The following is a 20,001-nucleotide window of genomic DNA, read 5'->3' as shown; positions in this document are numbered from 1 at the left end:
GCACACTAATGTTTGAGCACATCTGCCTTAAAGGTAAAGAACTTTTCTTTTGGTATATGTATTGCAGCATAGAGAAAAGAACCACTTTTCTCTCAGCAACTTCTGTGTTCCATGTCAAACCATATTAACCAGGGCAGTGGGGAGCAAGGGGCAAGCAAGAGTGATGAATGACAGATATTATTTGCACACATTGCTGGATGTACATCTGAAGCATGTCACAATAGCTACTGTTCATTGTGGTGACTTTGACGTATTTTATAAAGGTTTGTGTCTATTTTAGACATGAGGGGCAGAAAGATTTCTGCCAAAAGGTGAAAAATAAGTGAGTTTTGATATTTTAATAACATCTCCCAGTTGTTTTTATTGTAAAGTAATTTAAAAAACTGTATAGAAAACTAGGCTATTCAGGGTTCTGGTAGTTAAGGGTTTACTGTAACAATGTATTTACACTAATTTGTGTTTCCTATGTGTATATCTAGTCTGCCTGATTAGATTATAATGGTCTTGTGGCCAGGGAACATGTGTTCTTTTGTGTATTTGTAACATCTAGCAAAGTCATAAGTTATTGATACTTATTGATGACTGAAATAACTCACTGAGCATGTATCTCCTTTCTAGGGGTTTTGGGCTAGGCAGAGTAAGTTGATTGATTTCATTTGTGAAGTTAAAGGAGACAATCTTACACTGTCAGTAATGGTTAATATACTAAGAAGTTTTCAGTTGAAATAACTGTATTTTAGTTGACAGATGTGAAAGTGTGGTCCTAATTAATAAATGTGCTTTTTCCCTGTTTAGAGTATCCATTCAAGCTCGATCTTGCCTCTTCACCCTTTTTGGAATACATGTTATGTTGTTCTGTGCTTTACAAATCTGAATCTGAAAAATTGATATTTCTAGAAACCCCTAAACATAAATATTTTTGTTTAATTTCTGAACAGTATCATAGAAATTTAAACAAATGCCTAGACCCTGTAGTGGAAGATTCATAAAAATGCTCAAGTGTCTCTGACTTAAATCAAGCTGAATAAGGAAATAAGGAATGAATGAATAAATGTATGCTAGCTAAAGGGAAAATGTAGCTTCAGAATTCTATGAGAAGTAACTGATTATTTAAAACATATATTTGATTTTGAAGACATGAAGTGGTTCTGAACTTATTAGTTGAAGTAGACAGACATAGAAAGGAAGTCAAGAAACCCAGATTTAGATTACCTCTAGCTTAAATCTAGATTCAACCTAGAAGATGAATTCTGTTTTTATTCAAAATGGAATTACTTTGGTTAGTAGTAGACCATGAGATAAAGGAAAAGAAATGATTTCCCTTTCATTGGATAGCCATTGCATCCAAATAATAAAGCTAAACCTAATGCCAAAACAAGCTGTGATTATTTTACAACACATGAACACTTGATGTGGCATGTGCTAATGATGTTGTACATCATAGGATTTTAATTGAATTTCTGTTTGCAGGCACAGCAATTTTAAATTACATACTTTTCAGCTAGAGTCTACAATTTAGACCTATGACCATACACTTGGCATCTTTCAGTATAACTGTCTCTGTACTCTTTAGCTGTTTGTAGAATTTAAAATCGCTAAAGAGAAGAATTCTAAATTGGAAAACGAAAAGGATCTGGAAATAGTCATGAAAATAGAAGTATTGACCAGGTTGCTAAGTCTCTTGGATAGTGGCATAGTGGGCAAATAACATTACCATAAGGACATCTTTAAGAAAACTGTTGGGTTTCATATTATGGCAATGGGTCACAAGGTTCAAGTTTGAAATTGAGCCTTTTTTGAAGTGTAAGATTTTCTCATTCATTATTTGGTCAAAACCTTTTATTTTTAGATGACAGTAGTTTCTGTGGGCATATGTATATGAAATTCAGTTTTAATGATTAAACCTAGGAAATGGTAAAAGTTAAAGCAATTGAATATAAATGGCTCTTTCTCATAGAAAATTTAAATAGTGTTAAATAGTCTTAATTAGTCATTAGGATTAGCTTTCTGTGAAAGTGCTGCTGGTTAGCAAAATGTTATTTTGATTACTCTATAAGTATTTTTAACCAATATTTATAAATAGGAAGAGGAAGAGATTGGATAACCAGGTGATCTTCTAACCTCATTTTTGGTTATAACATTTATGATGCACATGTGAATGTTGTAATAACTTTTTGGATGTAAATATACATTTTTCAAGGTAGTAGTACTATTTCATTAATTTAAAATTGGGATGTTGAAGAAAATATACTCTTCTAAAGATCTTTCAGAAATTCAGACTTTTAGAAAAGTATAGGTATTTCTGAAATAATATAGAATATGGCAAATGTTGAATTTCTGTAACTGGCATGTCTTTTGAGATTTGGTATGTGATATGCTTATTACTGAAAAAATTTTCAACCATCATAAATAAACATTATTAGAAGTTGTTTATTCTTACCAAAATAGTGCAGGATTTACAAATATAAAGATTTCAGTATTCCTTACATTGTCTTCATGCCACTTTGGCAGTCTTGCTTCTATATTTGATGCTACCAAAATTAAAAAAAATAAGTGAAACTATTTGGAAAGCTTCATATGAATGTATTTTCATTCAATAGAGCCATATTCTTAACTGTTCAGTTGCACTGTACATTTTAAGTGGCTTTTTATTTTGATAAGTTCACAGATTCAATCAGAAAAGCTAACAATAGCTTGACTATTTTATTTACTCAAAGTAGTTTAAGGAGATACTTAGGAAGTTGCTGAGAGATGACTAAACAGGTGAGTGATCACTATTTCAGGTGATAGAGATTTTTTTATTGGAATATTTATTTTATTTAAGAAAGTATATATATATTCTGGATGATTTCCTTCAATATATGCTTATTTTTAATAAGATAGTATGTTTCTACATATTTTTTCATTTTAAGGAGATTATAGCCTAAAATTATCAAATTAACAGATAAATATCCCTCTTGACCTCTGCTTTTGGTAATAGCAGGTTTAACAACAGTGTTTTAAAAATCTTTCAGGATATATTCTGGCTTCAATATATAATTCTGATTTTCACTCCTCTGTTTATAAATTTCCCTTTCAATTTACTCAACAAATACTTATTGAGTGCTTTCCAACGGGCCAGGAATGGTGCTAGATTAGGAAGATACAAAGATTTAGGGATTCCTTCTTGAAGGACACATAGGAATTTGGGAAAGACATCTTGGGCAGATGAAGTAAAATAGCTATAGCACAGGGTGTGGTAATAGCATGGCCTCTTTTTGGAGCATTGGATATGTTACCCCTACTGATGATGATAAATCGTCTCTCTGTATTGCTCTTACCAAACAATTTAAAAATGGTAATCTAAAATCACATATGTAAATAGTACATAGTATATATACTTAAAAACTATTGATTTGCCAGGTGCAGTGGCTCACGCCTGTAATCCCAGCAATTTGGGAGGTCGAGGCAGGCTGATCACCTGAGGCCAGGAGTTCAAGACCAGCCTGGCCAACGTGGTAAAAACCCATCTCTATTAAAAATACAAAAAATTAGCCGGGCGTGGTGGCGCATGCCTGTAATCCCAGCTCTTTGGGAGGCTGAGGCAGGAGAATTGCTTGAACCTGGGAGGCGGAAGTTGCCGTGAGCCAAGATCGTGGCACTGCACTCCAGCCTGGGCTACAGAATGAGACTCTGTCTCAAAAATAAAAAAAATAAAATAAAATAAAAACCATTGATTTCCACTACCACAACCCCAAGCATACACAAACATCCTGGTTTGGAGTTTAAAGCATTTTTTTTTTTAAACAGATGGGAATACTTTGAAGCATACACGGGTAGAAAAAAAAAAAAAAAGAAAAGCCATAAAGAGTATAGATAGTGCCAGAAAACAAAATGAAGAAGGAAGGGCAAGAACTTCTGAATTTCCCATTCAGTGTTACTCCTTTTTACAGCCTTAGTGAAGGAGTAAAGTTAGTCATAATCTGTGGATCATCGGGTCCCCAACAACTGGATCTTTGTTCTCTGCTCAGTCTCTCTGTATTTTTGCCCACTCATCCCAGCTCCTATCTTAGCCCCATAACCTCTTTCATCTGACACCCAACTATAAAAAGTATTATGTAAATATCAGGAATTACTACCACTCTGGCTTTCCTTTCCCCTTACAGCCAGCCATTACCTTCCTCACCCCTATTGTCTTCTCCTTTGGATCCATTACCTAGTGTTCCTGCCTTTTCAACACACTAGCATCTCTTATTGCTGTTTTTTCTCTGCCCAACATGGCACCCTTCTTATCTTAAGGAAATGTTACAGATAGGAAGAATTACTGCCCTTCACATTGCTTATGCCATCATGGTGTGAGGAATTCTCTACGCATATACATGAGTGTGTGCCTGCATAACATTGTTTGTATTGTTTGATGATTTTGACTAATTTATATTTCTTGATACCTTTGATATAAATCCAAGGCATAGTCATAGCTACAAAAGGGAATGTCTTTGTAGATTCTTTGTTGGCCTACTAGGTTTCACACAGTTCTGTTAAAGAAATTTCTAATGTAAAACTTTCCAATGTAGTTGTCTTTGAGAAACATCTGGGATTTTCCATTTTTTATTGTGGCAAGACTACATATCTGAGTATCTAGTAAGAAATTTTAAATGTATCTGATAGTTTCCTGAAACAAATAAAGGAGACACACATGCACGAATATATAGTCATATATGTGTTTAAGAGATACACACAAACACACATGCATGTAAGTGTATAAGTGTACATAGCCATGAATGTGAACAATTTTATTTCCTGTAAGAAGGAACCCTTAATGTATCAAGAATTTTGCTTTGCTGTCCAGAATTTTGTGTGTGTTTTAAAGGGTTTAACCGTCCTATTTGGTTGCTATCCAAGTACTTTTACTGATTGGTGGAACATAAACAAAGCACACAATTTGGCATGATCTGCAGTCTTGTCTAAGCATTGTGAATAACATGGATATTTTAGATTAATCTGAAGAGACATTTCAGAACTGAAAAGATTACACAGTGCCTGTTCATACAAACTCTGGCTAGGGCTATTAGTCTTTAGCTGTACCTACCACAGGATTAACCAAAACTTGCATGAAAAAGTAGATAATTTCTTAGGGGACATCAGGAAAAAAATGGAGCAAGAGATTAGAAACATGATATATTAGTTCATTTGGTGAGGTGGTACTGGTGACAAACTATACTAGTCAGTTAGCAAATTAAGTTTTACTATAAAATTATTTAGGAACATATGCATTGAGAAAAAAAATCAGAGTATTGGCAATATATTTACGTTTTCTCTTATACTGTGACTGCTTAAATTATATTTTCTTCCTGAACATTCTTAAACATCTTCTGGAATTAAGATTTTGGAAATGGTTCTTCATGCACAGCTTTTCTTTTATGGTGTTTTTCTCCCACTTCTATTTTTCAGTGAACATATAATTGGAGGAGTTGATATCTCTTTGTAATCCTGTTTCTTTAGAATACATTGAGACATTTATAGAGTGTGGTTCACTTCAAATAGAAACATGCATCTTGTGGAATGGTCTCATTGGGAAGAACAGTAGGGATTCTACAAGAGTCCTATACTAGGAGATTGAAATTTGGTTTCTAGTTTCTCTTTTGCTGCTAGCTTGTGATACAACATTGGGCAAGTTAGCTTCTCTGGGTTTCAGTGTTTTCGTTTATACAATGAGGGTACTGAGAAAAATGAATTCTTAGAGTCCTAAAATTTCAACAAATCTTCTCCTTTTACATTCTAAGAGTTGGCTCTTTTTGTAGCCTTGGCCAAGACCCATCATTGTCCTTTGTTTGTTACGTCTCTGAACTGTGCATTTCACAGGTATTTTTTAACTGATTAGTTAATGTTCATAAAATGCGTCGAAGAGCTTTTATGTATGTTGTCTTTCTCTCCTGTTTTATGCAATTGTACATAATAGAAGCCAAGTGTTCTGTAATCAAAATAAGTGTTTCCTACGATGTGACCAAGGGTTTTTTGACATTTGCTATTCTAAATATTAAAGTAGTGGGACACTGAGCCTGCATAAAATTATATTTAAAATATATGTTGAATCATTTTTGTTCATTCCATAGGTGAACATATTTTTAGTTCTAGAATGTAATGGGAATTATAATTACACTCCATAGTTATGACTGGATTCTCCACCAGGGTAGTAACATCTGATTTGTTTGGATGCTGCCAACTTGTAATTAGGATGATTTTACCTGGCTGAAGTTTATTTCTAAATAATATGTGAGGAATAGTGTTGTTAAGTGAATTAATAGTGTAAAGTGTTGTTCATGAACTGTATTTCTGATTAAAGGGATTATTTTTAAGGACTTTGGCATAATAGTTGTTTGCTCATGAGAGGTAATTATAAGTGACTTAATAATTTATTAAAGGAAAAGTAAGAACTGAATATATATACATCTCCACCATCAGATATAATGCTTTTAGGGTTTTAGGTGTTTTAGAGTGCTGAGGATGGGGTGTAGGGAGGCAGCCTTACTTTCTTTTCATGCTGAACAAATATTAAAATTATTGGGGTACCACAAAAACAAATATTAAATATTAAGTCTGCAAGGAATCTAGACTGAAAAATTGACCTGGAAGATTCATGGTATTAGATAGCTTCTTTGGAGCCCAATGAAATTCGACAAAAGTATGTTGTTTTTTTTGAATCAGTTGATTGTTTATAGAAGAATAATAACTTATAGAAGGATATTCTTATAGAAGAATAATAATCTTTACAATAAAATGATCTTCACTTGTTTGTGGTGGTTCCCTTTTTGGGAATTTGGAAAACTCTACCTTAACTTGCCTGTTTTCCACTCATCAATGTTTGAGAAGTCTTCATAGACAGATAAACTCCTGGAAACACTTCACTACCATGTTTTTTACACAGGTTTTTGGATCTTCATTCTCAGAAGGTGAAGTAGACCAGGCACGGTGGCTCACGCCTTTAATCCCAGCACTTTGGGAGGCCAAGTCGGGTGGATCACCTGAGGTCAAGAGTTCGAGACCAGCCTGACCAGTATGGTGAAACCTTGTCTCTACTGAAAATACAAAAATTAGCCAGGCATGGTGGCAGGTGCATGTAATCCCAGCTACTCAAGAGGCTGAGGCAGGAGAATTGCTGCAACCTGAAAGGCAGAGGTTGCAGTGAGCCTGGATTGTGCCACCGCACTCCAGCCTAGGTGACAGAGGGAGACTCCATCTCAAAAAAGCAAACAAACAAAAAGATTCATAAGCTGGAAAATGATTGAGTCTCTTTTCTAAAACATCACCTCCTTACTACATAATATATAGCTGCTTTATGTTTTATATTTTTAAATGTTTGCAAATGCTTCGGGTTTTGAAAATTTGTTTGAAACTCACTGTGGAATAAGACATTTCAAACTTGATGTGTTCATACATGTGTGTGGCTGTGTGTGTGTGTGTGTGTGTGTGTATGTATTTCTCCTTCTTTGGATTTCAAACAAGTTGCCCCTGCTGATTATACCTGAGGCCTTTTTGCTATATAACCATTAAGGATTATTGCAGAAAGCCTTCTAATGTAAAATATTGACTATAATTTATGTGTATTAATGGCAGGTTAAAAAAAACTTTTAAATATATTTTGGCCACTAGCGCATTGATAAATATTCCTTTCTCTGACTCATTTGACAATTTCTGTGAGTCTGTTTTGTGTGCAAGTACTAAAAGGAGTTGGATATGTAATTTAACCCTTTAAAATGCTTGACTGGGTTTTTGGGGGCTGTTTCTTTTGTATGATAGGTTGAATAAAAATTGTATGTAAGGTAATGATGGCTGACATAATTTTAATATTTACAAAGTTCATATATTACTTGTCAATCTTTCAAAATAAGCTTTCTCTTTCCATATATGTATGTATGTGTATATGTACATACTGCATGTACATATATGTTTTGTGCTTCACAGGAAAATAGTAGTTTGTCTTTTTGCCTTGATATTGGTCTGTATCTTAAAAGGAAGGCATTTGTGATTATGTTAGTTGATTTCATGCTGTATTTCTTATATACTAAATTTGGTATTTTGGAATTTTTGAAAATAGTTCCTTACTGTAGAAACATTCATGTGTGTTTCTAAAATACAGATGAAAAAGCCTCTTAGGGGACTAAATCTCAATCTTTAAAAACTAGGAATAATTTGGAAAGAATATTCGAACGCTAACTATTTAAGTTGGAAGCATGAGTTTATTGTTTGGATACAGACTTGAAAGTAAATATGAGCTTTGTTCCTGCAGTGATTTTTTAAAAATAGGTAGTTGCTTTCATGTCAATCATGATCTGCCTTTACTAAGCTTGCATTGATGGAAATGGATAATTCTGTTTTTAGGTAGAAGCAGAAGGGTACTATGATTGTGAATTGCCTATATCAGAAGTAAAATTCTTCAGCCTGTAAATAAACAGTTCAGCATAATACTCATTTAACCTATATTCACTTTTTAGAATTGTGTAGAAAATTTGTGAGTTTGTTTTGGTGCTTTAAACAGAAGCTTAAAAGTCACTTTCAGGGCATTTACAACGCTATTTTCTGGCAGTATTTTGAAACAATATAGATGAGCCCTTTATTTGCCATTGCTTTCATGAAATACCTCAAGCTGCCTTTGACAGCAGCTTCAATTTTTGAACCTCCTTGACAATCGCTAATCCCTATAGGTTACCGGACCCGCTGTTGAGCTTTGGAGTGGTCCCTGCTGGACACCTGCTTGGCCAGCAGTGTTGGTCTTTCCTCTAGGCAATTTGTGAGCTGTCTGCGGGGGAGGGAGGGGAGGAGTGGGGGGGGTGGTGAACAAGAGGGGAAAGGGGAGAGAAGGGGAGGGCAGTATTGAATTAGATTGTTGATAGCGTCCCTCTGAGGACTGCTATTAAGAGCATGCTACTCTGTACTTCGCTGCTGCAGAAGAGAGAGTGATATTTGTGTTACTACAGCATGTTGTAAATGTGTGAGATTTTGCTCATCTCAGCTTGGAAATAAGAATAGGGAAAGGAGAGCAACTTGAATCAGAAGCTACTAGAAGAACCTGCAGAGTTCTGAAGCAGTTTATATTCTTCTTACATTTTGCCTTCTCCTAGCTGGAAAGCAGAGGGACTGGAATTTTTGAAACGGGCTTTTCCCATAATGGCATTCTTGATTTGTGTGGCCAGAGCTTGCACAGGAGGAAAGCAGGCTGCTGAATTTAGTCACTGATCTCTATTAGCGGTAGCCTAAGGCTATGCTGAGGTTTATATCCCATTTGTATTGTTGCAGCTCAAAAGAAGATTGTTCAGAGGATGACAAGTGTATTCTGAGTAGGTATGTTGTTGTTTCATTTTCATATGAAACCCATCTATGTTTTTTCTTGCTACTATTGGTCAGAAATCAGGTTAATAGGTGCAGAATATAGTACAGTGCTGCAGTATCCCTGTTAAGGTAGAACAATGGTATTGCAAGCTTAAAAAAAAAAAGCCTGGCTGCTTTTATTAAATAAAGCTGCATTGTATGGTATGCACAGTGCAGTCCTAAAAAAATATACTGCAGTCAACGCTTTTCTGGCACTATTGTTGAGTTGGAATGATTGAATCATCATATTGCTTTAGGGGACAGAAGAATTTAAGGAGGTACCTTACAGCCCTATTTTACAGATTGGAAGCATCGGTTTAAGGGCACTGGCAGAATCCTTTGCTTGTTCTCCGCGGCAGCCACTGCTGTGTCAGTACAGTGTGGAATGGAAGTCTTAGTTGGTAGTCTGTTATGGAAACGCTCTTTACTGTTATTGTAGTACCGTGGTGACAACATGCCATTGAAATGGAAAACGAGCTCTCCTGCTATCTGGAAATTCCCAGTTCCTGTGCTTAAAACATCCAGGTCAACTCCACTTTCTCCAGCATACATGTAAGTGAGAGAAAATAGGATATTAAAGTGGGATTTCATTCATGAATCTACCTTGTGGCAAAATGGGGGCGGGGGAGCCCCCAAACAGCAACATCCAAAAACCTACAGGATTAAAAACCTCAAGCTTGCTTACATTTAAAGATGTTGGCATGCCCACACTTCATCATTGTTTTGTTTTTCTAAAGTTTATGTTTATTTAAAGTGTTTAATGGTAATCTAATTACCAGTGTGAAAGTACAAAGGCATACCTAAGGAATTGCAAAAGAATTAACTTTAATATTTAACATATGTTGGATTTGTTTGAATTTTTGAATATCTAAAACACTTAGGATGACTTCTTTTGTGTAATGGCATTAAAAATTGATGATTGATGGTGGTGTGTTAAATATGGTAATGCCTCTTTACTATTTTTTCATGAATTAAAAACAGAGTTAACATTGATCAGAAAATGAGTCTTTTAATTGAGACTTTTATACTTTAGTTGTGTATGAATATTAATATGTTTGATAGTACATCTTTCTCAGTTTTATCATTCAAGTTCTGAAGTGTAAGTTTGAATTTGTGCAAATTATATCTCTATGAGCAGTTATATTATGGGGATTGAAAAAGTATTCTACAAATGTCTGTTTTAAAAATGTATTTTAAGTAAATACGTACTGAAGTGCACTGGGAAGTCTTTCTAGAAGTTTTCAAAATTTTTGAAAATCTTTTTAAATTTGCAGTGTTGCTTTAAAGGCAAAATCCAGGAGATATAATAAAATGTTCTTTTAAAGTATTGTTCATGATCCTTTTTGGTGGAGGAAAACCGAATCTTTTTTTAAAGAAAATATTAGTACGAGAAAAGCTTTTGAAAAGAATGTTTTAAATTTGAGTGTTATTTTTAAAATATTTATCAGTAGGAAAAATGTGGAAAACTTCTCCTGCCTTAGTTTAATTGTGTATTTAGAGCTGTGGTGAGTTGCCATTTTTTAACTTAGTTTTTGTTTTATGTGAGGTAGAGATGCACAATTATATCTATCTCTTTCTTTGAAACCCTTTCAGATGCTGAGGAAGTGTGGTTATGCTCTCAGTCCAAAAGAAGCAATTCCCTGGAAAGTGTTGAAAAATGAGGCCATTTCAGAGTTAAATCCTGTGGTCATTTTATTTTCAGATTTTTTAATGCTCCTTTCCGTTTATGCTCCAGGATATTTTTATCTCTTTGGGTGTTAAACTTTATGAAGTAAAAAAAAAAATAGGCTAGTTTGTAAAAATAAACCAGCTATATTTGTTTTTCAAAAACTGTTTGTCAAAAGCACAAATTAATGGAGGTGACAAGTTAATGGAGGTGAGAAGTTAATGGAGCTCTTTCACATAATTCGAGAAAATAGGATGCTTCCTGACTTTATGCATCTTAACTGGCAAGAAATGACTAAAGATTTACCAAAAGCAACTTTATTATAAAAACAAAACAAAACAAAACCTCACTAAAATCAGGTTACAATTATAATGGTTATTAATGTTTCTAATATTCCTACTATATTTGATTGTCTAAAAGATCCAAATTGCAGCCCTTATTGCCCCTGATTTGTCGATTTTTAGAGATGGTGAAATAAATCCCCATGTTTTATTAAATTCATGCCAGCCACAAGCTCAGATACAACTCAACACAACATTTTAAATTAATCACTTTCTTCCTTTTAAGTGCTTACCTCTTTGACCTGATGATATGAGTGAATCAATTTAGAAGATAGAACCTACAAAATATAATAGATCTTGCATGTTGACTGTTGGTTGTTGGTAGTACACATAGGTAGAATGGAAAAATATATTCAAAGAGCTTATGGTAGGCTGAAGTATTTTGACATTGTAACAGACTATTTTGACATTACAACACTCTATATTATTGAATTGGTCTTAACTTATTTTTCTTTTTATGTATATTAATACTTAATAGTAAGTAAATATGCACAGATAGAAATTTATGTGAAATGTAGCAAGACTAGCTTGGGGAGTTTAAATCAGGTTTTTAAATATGTTGTTTAGTTTTTGACCATTTTAGATCACAGTTCATTGCCTCACTTGGCCAAAAATAAAAACATCATGTTTAACATGTTTTTCTCATCAGTACTTCTCTATATTCCTCAACACATTTACACACAAAATGATACTTAAGTATAGCATAATTCCACTTCAAAAATGATAAAGACTGAATTAGATTACTGGGTCAAGTAACATTATATTTGTTCTCACAATTGTTTGGCTGGCAAACATAGGTTTAAATGGTTACTTGTGTCTTTTGGGTCTAAACTCTTTGCACTGAAATAGAATTGTTCAATTCTGACTCCTCAATAAATCGTGATATATAGGAAATTTACCTGTAAAATAATGTATAAGTATTTAAAGTAGTATTTTGAATATAGAATTCTTCATAGGTGATATAAGATCTTTTTGTACGTATGCTTGTGTAGCATCAGTATTGGTTTGTAATGTTTTATCATTACTTACCGTGCTTTGTCAAATATACATTACGTGGTTTTCATTGAAGACTTGAGTACTTTGTCAAAGACTGAAATTTCAATATGAAGTATTTTAGGTAGTAGTAAAAATGTGTTATAGTGATTGAGCATGTGTGGGAAAAATCTAAACGCTCCATGGTCTCTTTCTAAACCCAGTGTATGTGCTGCTTTGCTGTAGCTCTTCCATTGATGCTACAGATAGGGCAGTACTGCTGTGCTAGTGAAGGCTACAATAGAGAACATTTTACTTACTGCAAACATCGAGCAGCAAGACTATTACTTTTTTCCTTGTGGGTTTAAAGTCCATGTTTGTTTTCTTTCTGTTTGTTTAGAACTTGAATGACAGTTGAAATGTCCCAACATTTTTAAGTTTTCTTTATGATGAAGACTATAGTATTTGTGGCAATATTAGTAGAAATAGCATCTTATATAGTATAAAGCACTTAAAAAATTTTGCTGTAATGTCATACTAGAAAAGTGGGATATCTTAAATACGAAAGATTCAGGAAAATAATACTTCAGTCTCTAGATTGATTGATGATCAAATAGTCTTTATTGGGTAGACATATTCTTTCAGCTTTAGATTTTAGCATTGCAGGGTGGTGTGCCATCTATGTGGATTTCTGAAGGGATTGTCTTGATAGAAATAGAGTGCTTGGTGACATGTGTTTGCTTTGCACTCTGTTCAACAGTAGGTTGAAGTTCAACCTTAGCCTGAGGGAGGATCTCCTGGCCAGTGTAAACTGCATTAGTAAAGACTCTGCCCCTGACAGGTGCAAACCATATAAATTACTCTGTCATTTAGCCTAAATTAATAAAGCTGAAAGAGCAATCACATCTAAGTGTTTTTATGGTGTTTAGGTATTCATTGTTTTAAAACAGCAAATGGTTCCTTCAGGCAAATATTATAGGGTTAATGCCTTGTTAGATGCTAAGGACACACTGAAATAGAACAAAATTAGCACTAGTGATCCTTTCATCTTTTCTTTTCCAGCAGCGAGTTTTGACAATAATAGTGTGGCAAGGAGGAAGGCAATTAGGTAAGAATTAACCAGTGAAATATAACAGTGAATTCTAGCAAGACAGACCCTGTGAGTTGTTTTCCTTAGAATGTTACCTTTCTCAATCTAAAAGACAATGAATGTTAGTGAACTAGACTTGTTCTCCTTTAGTCCCTGCACTTACATTCAGTTAGCTTCCTATTTATGATTTTTTGATATGTAAAAAATATTTTTATAGTAAATGCCAAAAAACACAACATTCTATAGCAATTGCCTCTGTAATGTCTTCAATAAAATTCAGTACCTGGCATTTCCTGAGAAAATATTGTGTATATTGTATAAATGCTCCTTGTTTGTAGGTGATTCACAGCACAGACATAATAAAAATATGAATTTTCTAAATTTGACATGTTTCTATCCCCTAAGATTGTCTTTTTTTTCTAATTTAGTAAATAAAAGAAAACTTTGTGGTTACAGAAATCTTTCTTATCTAGCAAAATACTTATTAAATTGATAATCATTTGTGATTAGAGAAATCTTTCTTTTCTAGCAAAATACTTATTAAATTGATAATCTCAAAATAGAAAAGAATGTTTAGTTGCTTTGAGAACATAAACTTTTACTTGCTTTGTGTCTACTTAATTTTGTTTTTATTACTTATGCACAATTTAACAAAATTATGTGGAAAAATAACACAACTAACACCTAAGATAAATTTTGTGTTAGTCTGCAACTTTTGTGGCATGTTCTTTGGGAATTTGCATTGTCTGAGCTTGCAGAAGGACTAGGTTGTCATTTATTAATGGAAAATCATAGAGATAGAAGTGACCTTAAAAGTCATTTAGAAAGTCCAAACCCCTTTTAACACAGGAACTCATTCCATGACACCTCTCGAAGATGGCATTGCATGTCCTTCTTGAACACTGTCACTGACAAAGGGCTCACTACCTCACCAAGGCTGCACCCTCCATTCATGGACAGCTTTTCCTTGCATTGAGCAAAATCAGTTCCTTGTATCTTTTCTCTCCCGTTCCCAATGCAGCCTTATAGAGCTATATAGAAAAAAAAAAATTCTATTACATACACGCTTAGGCGTCTTCTCATGTGACATGGTTTTCAGACCCTTCACTCTTCCTGGTTGTCCTCACGTGGATGGTTTTTTCATGTTAATCTTTATGTAAGACACTACATTTGAATGTGATGCTCCACATGGGGCCCAAATAGAAGACAATTCTCTTCCTTTAAGCAGAATCTCTGCTTGTCTTAAAGGGCCTGAGATTATATTATTTTTTTTAATTATAGGATTCACACTGTCCCCTAGTGAATTTACAGTTTGCAAATTGCCTTTTTGAAGGCCTTACAATCAGATTGCTTGCTCCTCACTGTCTGTGTTTATTCTTTTAGCTTCTTCAGATCTTTTAGTCTGAGGAAGCCTGGCATGTGCAAATGAAGTTAACATTTTGTTTTAAAGCCTATTGTGTATTTTTTAAAAAGACCTCTTGAAATCATTTAATATAACAGAAAAATATTGCACACAAGACACTTGCAAGACAAAGAGCTAGTGTTCCTGTCACTTTCAGATATTTCAAAGACATTCACTGGTCAATAATTTATCTAGATTCCTTTTTTTATACTTAGTGTATCTTCCAAGTAATCGCTTCCCCCATTGCAAAGAAACCACTTTCTACAGAGGGAAGAGAGGCAGAATTTCATATCTCCATACCATCATGGGAAGTACGGAGTTACTGAGAATTTCATACATTCTGCTTGAAACTTAGAATATTTAGTTGAGACTTAAGTATGGCCAAACTTGGGGAGACGGAGCGATGAGAAAGAAGTATGGGATAGGCAAGTATTTGTGCTAATAACTTGCAGTTGAAGAGTTAAGAATTACAAACAACATACATGATAAAATTTTAGATTGACATGGCTGCCATGATGTATTGCTTTATATCCTCAAGACTTTGAGAAAGGCGGTATAAACATGAGATTCTTGGGGAATCAGTACATAAATAAGTTACTGAGTAATTCATTTTAGAAAATGCTCAGTTCTGGATATTAGCCCTTTGTCAGATGAGTAGATTGCAAAAATTTTCTCCCATTCTGTAGGTAGCCTGTTCACTCTGATGGTAGTTTCTTTTGCTGTGCAGAAGCTCTTGAGTTTAATTAGATCCCATTTGTCAATTTTGTCTTTTGTTGCCATTGCTTTTGGTGTTTCAGACATGAAGTCTTTGCCCATGCCTATGTCCTGAATGGTATTGCCTAGGTTTTCTTCAAGGGATTTTATGGTTTTAGGTCTAACATTTAAGTCTTCAATCCATCTTGAATTAATTTTTGTATAAGGTGTAAGGAAGGGATCCAGTTTCAGCTTTCTCCATATGGCTAGCCAGTTTTCCCAGCACCATTTATTAAATAGGGAATCCTTTCCCCATTGCTTGTTTTTCTCCGGTTTGTCAAAGATCAGATAGCTGTAGATATGTGGCATTATTTCTGAGGGCTCTGTTCTGTTCCATTGGTCTATATCTCTGTTTTGGTACCAGTACCATGCTGTTTTGGTTACTGTAGCCTTGTAGTATAGTTTGAAGTCAGGTAGCGTGATGCCTCCAGCTTTGTTCTTTTGGCTTAGGATTGACTTGGCAATGTGGGCTCCTTTTTGGTTCCATATGAACTTTAAAGTAGTTTTTTCCCATTCTGTGAAGAAGGTCATCGGTAGCTTGATGGGGATGGCATTGAATCTATAAATTATGTTGGGCAGTATGGCCATTTTCATGATATTGATTCTTCCTACCCATGCGCATGGAATGTTCTTCCATTTGTTTGTATCCTCTTTTATTTCCTTGAGCAGTGGTTTGTAGTTCTCCTTGAAGAGGTCCTTCACATCCCTTGTAAGTTGGATTCCTAGGTATTTTATTCTCTTTGAAGCAATTGTGAATGGGAGTTCCCTCATGATTTGGCTGTCTGTTTTCTGTTATTGGTGTATAAGAATGCTTGTGATTTTTGCACATTGATTTTGTATCCTGAGACTTTGCTGAAGTTAGGAGGAGACTTTGCTGAAGGAGATTTTGGGCTGAGACAATGGGGTTTTCTAGATATACAATCATGTTGTCTGCAAACAGGGACAATTTGACTTCCTCTTTTCCTAATTGAATACCCTTTATTTCCTTCTCCTACCTGATTGCCCTGGCCAGAACTTCCAACACTATGTTGAATAGGAGTGGTGAGAGAGGGCATCCCTGTCTTGTGCCAGTTTTCAAAGGGAATGCTTCCAGTTTTTGTTCATTCAGTATGATATTGGCTGTGGGTTTGTCATAGATAGCTCTTATTATTTTGAGATACATCCCATCAATACCTAATTTATTGAGAGTTTTTAGCATGAAGGGTTGTTGAATTTTGTCAAAGGCCTTTTCTGCATCTATTGAGATAATCATGTGGTTTTTGTTGTTAGTTCTGTTTATATGCTGGATTATGTTTATTGATTTGCATATGTTGAACCAGCCTTGCATCCCAGGGATGAAGCCCACTTGATCATGGTGGATAAGCTTTTTGATGTGCTGCTGGATTCCGTTTGCCAGTATTTTATTGAGGATTTTTGCATTGACGTTCATCAGGGATATTGGTCTAAAATTCTCTTTTTCTGTTGTGTCTCTGCCGGACTTTGGTATCAGGATGATGCTGGCCTCATCAAATGAGTTAGGGAGGATTCCCTCTTTGTTTATTGATTGGAATAGTTTCAGAAAGAATGGTACCAGCTCCTCCTTGTACCTCTGGTAGAATTTCAAACAAATTTACAACAAAAAAACAACCCCATCAACAAGTGGGCGAAGGATATTAACAGACACTTCTCAAAAGAAGACATTTATGCAGCCAAAAGACACATGAAAAAATGCTCATCATCACTGGCCATCAGAGAAATGCAAATCAAAACCACAATGAGATACTGTCTCACACCACTTAGAATGGCGATCATTAAAAAGTCAGGAAACAACAGGTGCTGGAGAGCATGTGGAGAAATAGGAACACTTTTACACTGTTGGTGGGACTGTAAACTAGTTCAACCATTGTGGAAGTCAGTGTGGCCATTCCTCAGGGATCTAGAACTAGAAATACCATTTGACCCACCCATCCCATTACTGGGTATATACCCAAAGGATTATAATTTATGCTGCTATAAAGACACATGCACATGTATGTTTATTGCGGCATTATTCACAATAGCAAAGACTTGAAACCAACCCAAATGTCCATCAATGATAGACCGGATTAAGAAAATGTGGCACATATACACCATGGAATACTATGCAGCCATAAAAAATGATGAGTTCATGTCCTTTGTAGGGACATGGATGAAGCTGGAAACCATCATTCTCAGCAAACTATCACAAGGACCAAAAACCAAACACTGCATGTTCTCACTCACAGGTGGGAATTGAACAATGAGAACACTTGGACACAGGAAGGCGAACATCACACTCTGGGGACTGTTATGGGGTGGGGGAAGGGGGGATGGATAGCATTAGGAGATATGCCTAATGTTAAATGACGAGTTAATGGGTGCAGCACACCAACATGGCACATGTATACATATGTAACAAAGCTGCACGTTGTGCACATGTACCCTAAAACTTTAATAAAAAAAAGAAAGTGCTCAGTTCTTTTTCAATCACCTTGTATATTAAGTTTATAACATTCAGCAGTTACTCAACTGTCTATTATGTGCCAGGCATAACTCTGCTGAGGATTAGGGGCATAGTCCTTGTGATCATTCAAAGTGATTATTTTTTATCTTCCATACTATCTTCATTCATAAGCAATTAAATAGCTTAATTTATTCTCCTGCTGTGAAAATTTGGAACCAAGACAAACAGGTTAAATAAATTCTTGCTTACTGTACTTTCAATATTGATAATGGATTTAAGGGCAATGGAAACACCTCAGAAGAAAAATTTGTCTGGACTAAATGAGGAGACTTGAACTGGAGGTAGATAACACATGTTAAAGTGCATATTGCACAGGATGGAAAATGAAGCAATTTTTTTTTTTTTATTATACTCTAAGTTTTAGGGTACATGTGCACATTGTGCAGGTTAGTTACATATGTATACATGTGCCATGCTGGTGCGCTGCACCCACTAACGTGTCATCTAGCATTAGGTATATCTCCCAATGCTATCCCTCCCCCCTCCCCCGACCCCACCACAGTCCCCAGAGTGTGATATTCCCCTTCCTGTGTCCATGTGATCTCATTGTTCAATTCCCACCTATGAGTGAGAATATGCGGTGTTTGGTTTTTTGTTCTTGCGATAGTTTACTGAGAATGATGGTTTCCAATTTCATCCATGTCCCTACAAAGGACATGAACTCATCATTTTTTATGGCTGCATAGTATTCCATGGTGTATATGTAATGCTCATCATCACTGGCCATCAGAGAAATGCAAATCAAAACCACTATGAGATATCATCTCACACCAGTTAGAATGGCAATCATTAAAAAGTCAGGAAACAACAGGTGCTGGAGAGGATGTGGAGAAATAGGAACACTTTTACACTGTTGGTGGGACTGTAAACTAGTTCAACCATTGTGGAAGTCAGTGTGGCGATTCCTCAGGGATCTAGAACTAGAAATACCATTTGACCCAGCCATCCCATTACTGGGTATATACCCAAAGGACTATAAATCATGCTGCTATAAAGACACATGCACACGTATGTTTATTGCGGCACTATTCACAATAGCAAAGACTTGGAAAATGAAGCAATTTATGTTTAAAGTTCATAGTGTCTTTTTAAACAACAAGAATGGAATACTATTCTTTACATTGGACAGGGAATAATTTACTGTTTGTGTGCTTTATAGCACACAAGTTTACATATATTACCTTCCAAGCAGTAATAATTTGATCTCAAACTCTAAGATTGAATCTTAGTTTAAAATAAAATTATATTGTGTTTTCAATTATACTAAAATATTTTTCCCAGCATAACTTACTATGATGAGGTTATCTGTTGTTTTTACCCATTTCCCCCCCACATTTATGTCATGCTAAGGCAAGAACATGCCCAGTTTGTTGGAGAGGATTTCTTATAATATAGTTCAATGGAGTAATGAAGTAACTTATCTTCAATAACAAAAAAATAAAAACAAGTTTCAGAACTTTAGATTAAATTTTAATCTAGCATGTATAACAGATATTCTAAACTTCATGAGACATATTCCAAATTTTTAAAATGTCCTAGTTTAGCATAGTTAAATGTAATACAATTTATTTTCCTCTATTATAGAAGTGCTAAGCACTTAATTTCATTCCTCCCAAAAAGCCCTGTAAGTGTACATCCTCTCACTATTTTACGAATAAGGACACAAGTTCAGAGAGGTTAATTGCTTAATGTTACACATCAAATTACAAGTTGAGCCAAAATTCAGATTTAGGGCCACGTGATTTCAAAGCTTGTAATTTCTCCAATGCCTTTTCATTTTTATAGACTTTTGCTACTTTCATGCCATCTATTAATTATATAATACCTTACTAGGGTTAGAAGAAAAGGGAAATATGGTAGATGGGAAAAGCTTTTTGAATTGGGTGGTGGTATAGGAAGAGGTTAGAAAGC

At 35.0% G+C, this 20,001-nt stretch overlaps 1 protein-coding gene across 9 annotated transcripts in view, besides 1 other annotated feature; it reads left to right on the top strand.

The window, feature by feature from the left end:
* KLHL13 (kelch like family member 13) overlaps positions 1 to 20,001 on the top strand; it is a 219,528-nt gene that overhangs the window by 134,713 nt on the left and 64,814 nt on the right. For 2 of the 9 annotated variants that reach the window (NM_001394864.1, NM_001168300.2), the window contains exon 1: positions 8,904 to 9,318. The exons of 5 other annotated variants lie outside the window; for them this stretch is intronic. In NM_001394864.1, the coding sequence (NP_001381793.1) occupies positions 9,239 to 9,318 (80 nt within the window). In that variant the 5' untranslated portion in view covers positions 8,904 to 9,238. Of the gene's footprint in view, positions 1 to 8,903; positions 9,898 to 20,001 lie in introns of those variants that run through there. 2 more of the 9 variants (NM_001394863.1, NM_033495.4) reach the window with 2 other exon arrangements.
* Positions 9,648 to 9,942: a silencer, noted in NCBI's record as "tiled region #7314; K562 Repressive non-DNase unmatched - State 24:Quies". NCBI's record gives its function as "represses a minimal TATA promoter and a strong SV40 promoter by Sharpr-MPRA in K562 cells {active_cell/tissue: K562}" and the evidence as "EXISTENCE:reporter gene assay evidence [ECO:0000049][PMID:27701403]".

This window comes from Homo sapiens, chromosome X, assembly GCF_000001405.40.
Source record: "Homo sapiens chromosome X, GRCh38.p14 Primary Assembly".
NCBI classification, from domain to species: domain Eukaryota; kingdom Metazoa; phylum Chordata; class Mammalia; order Primates; family Hominidae; genus Homo; species Homo sapiens.
This window is presented reverse-complemented; position numbering and strand designations above follow the sequence as displayed.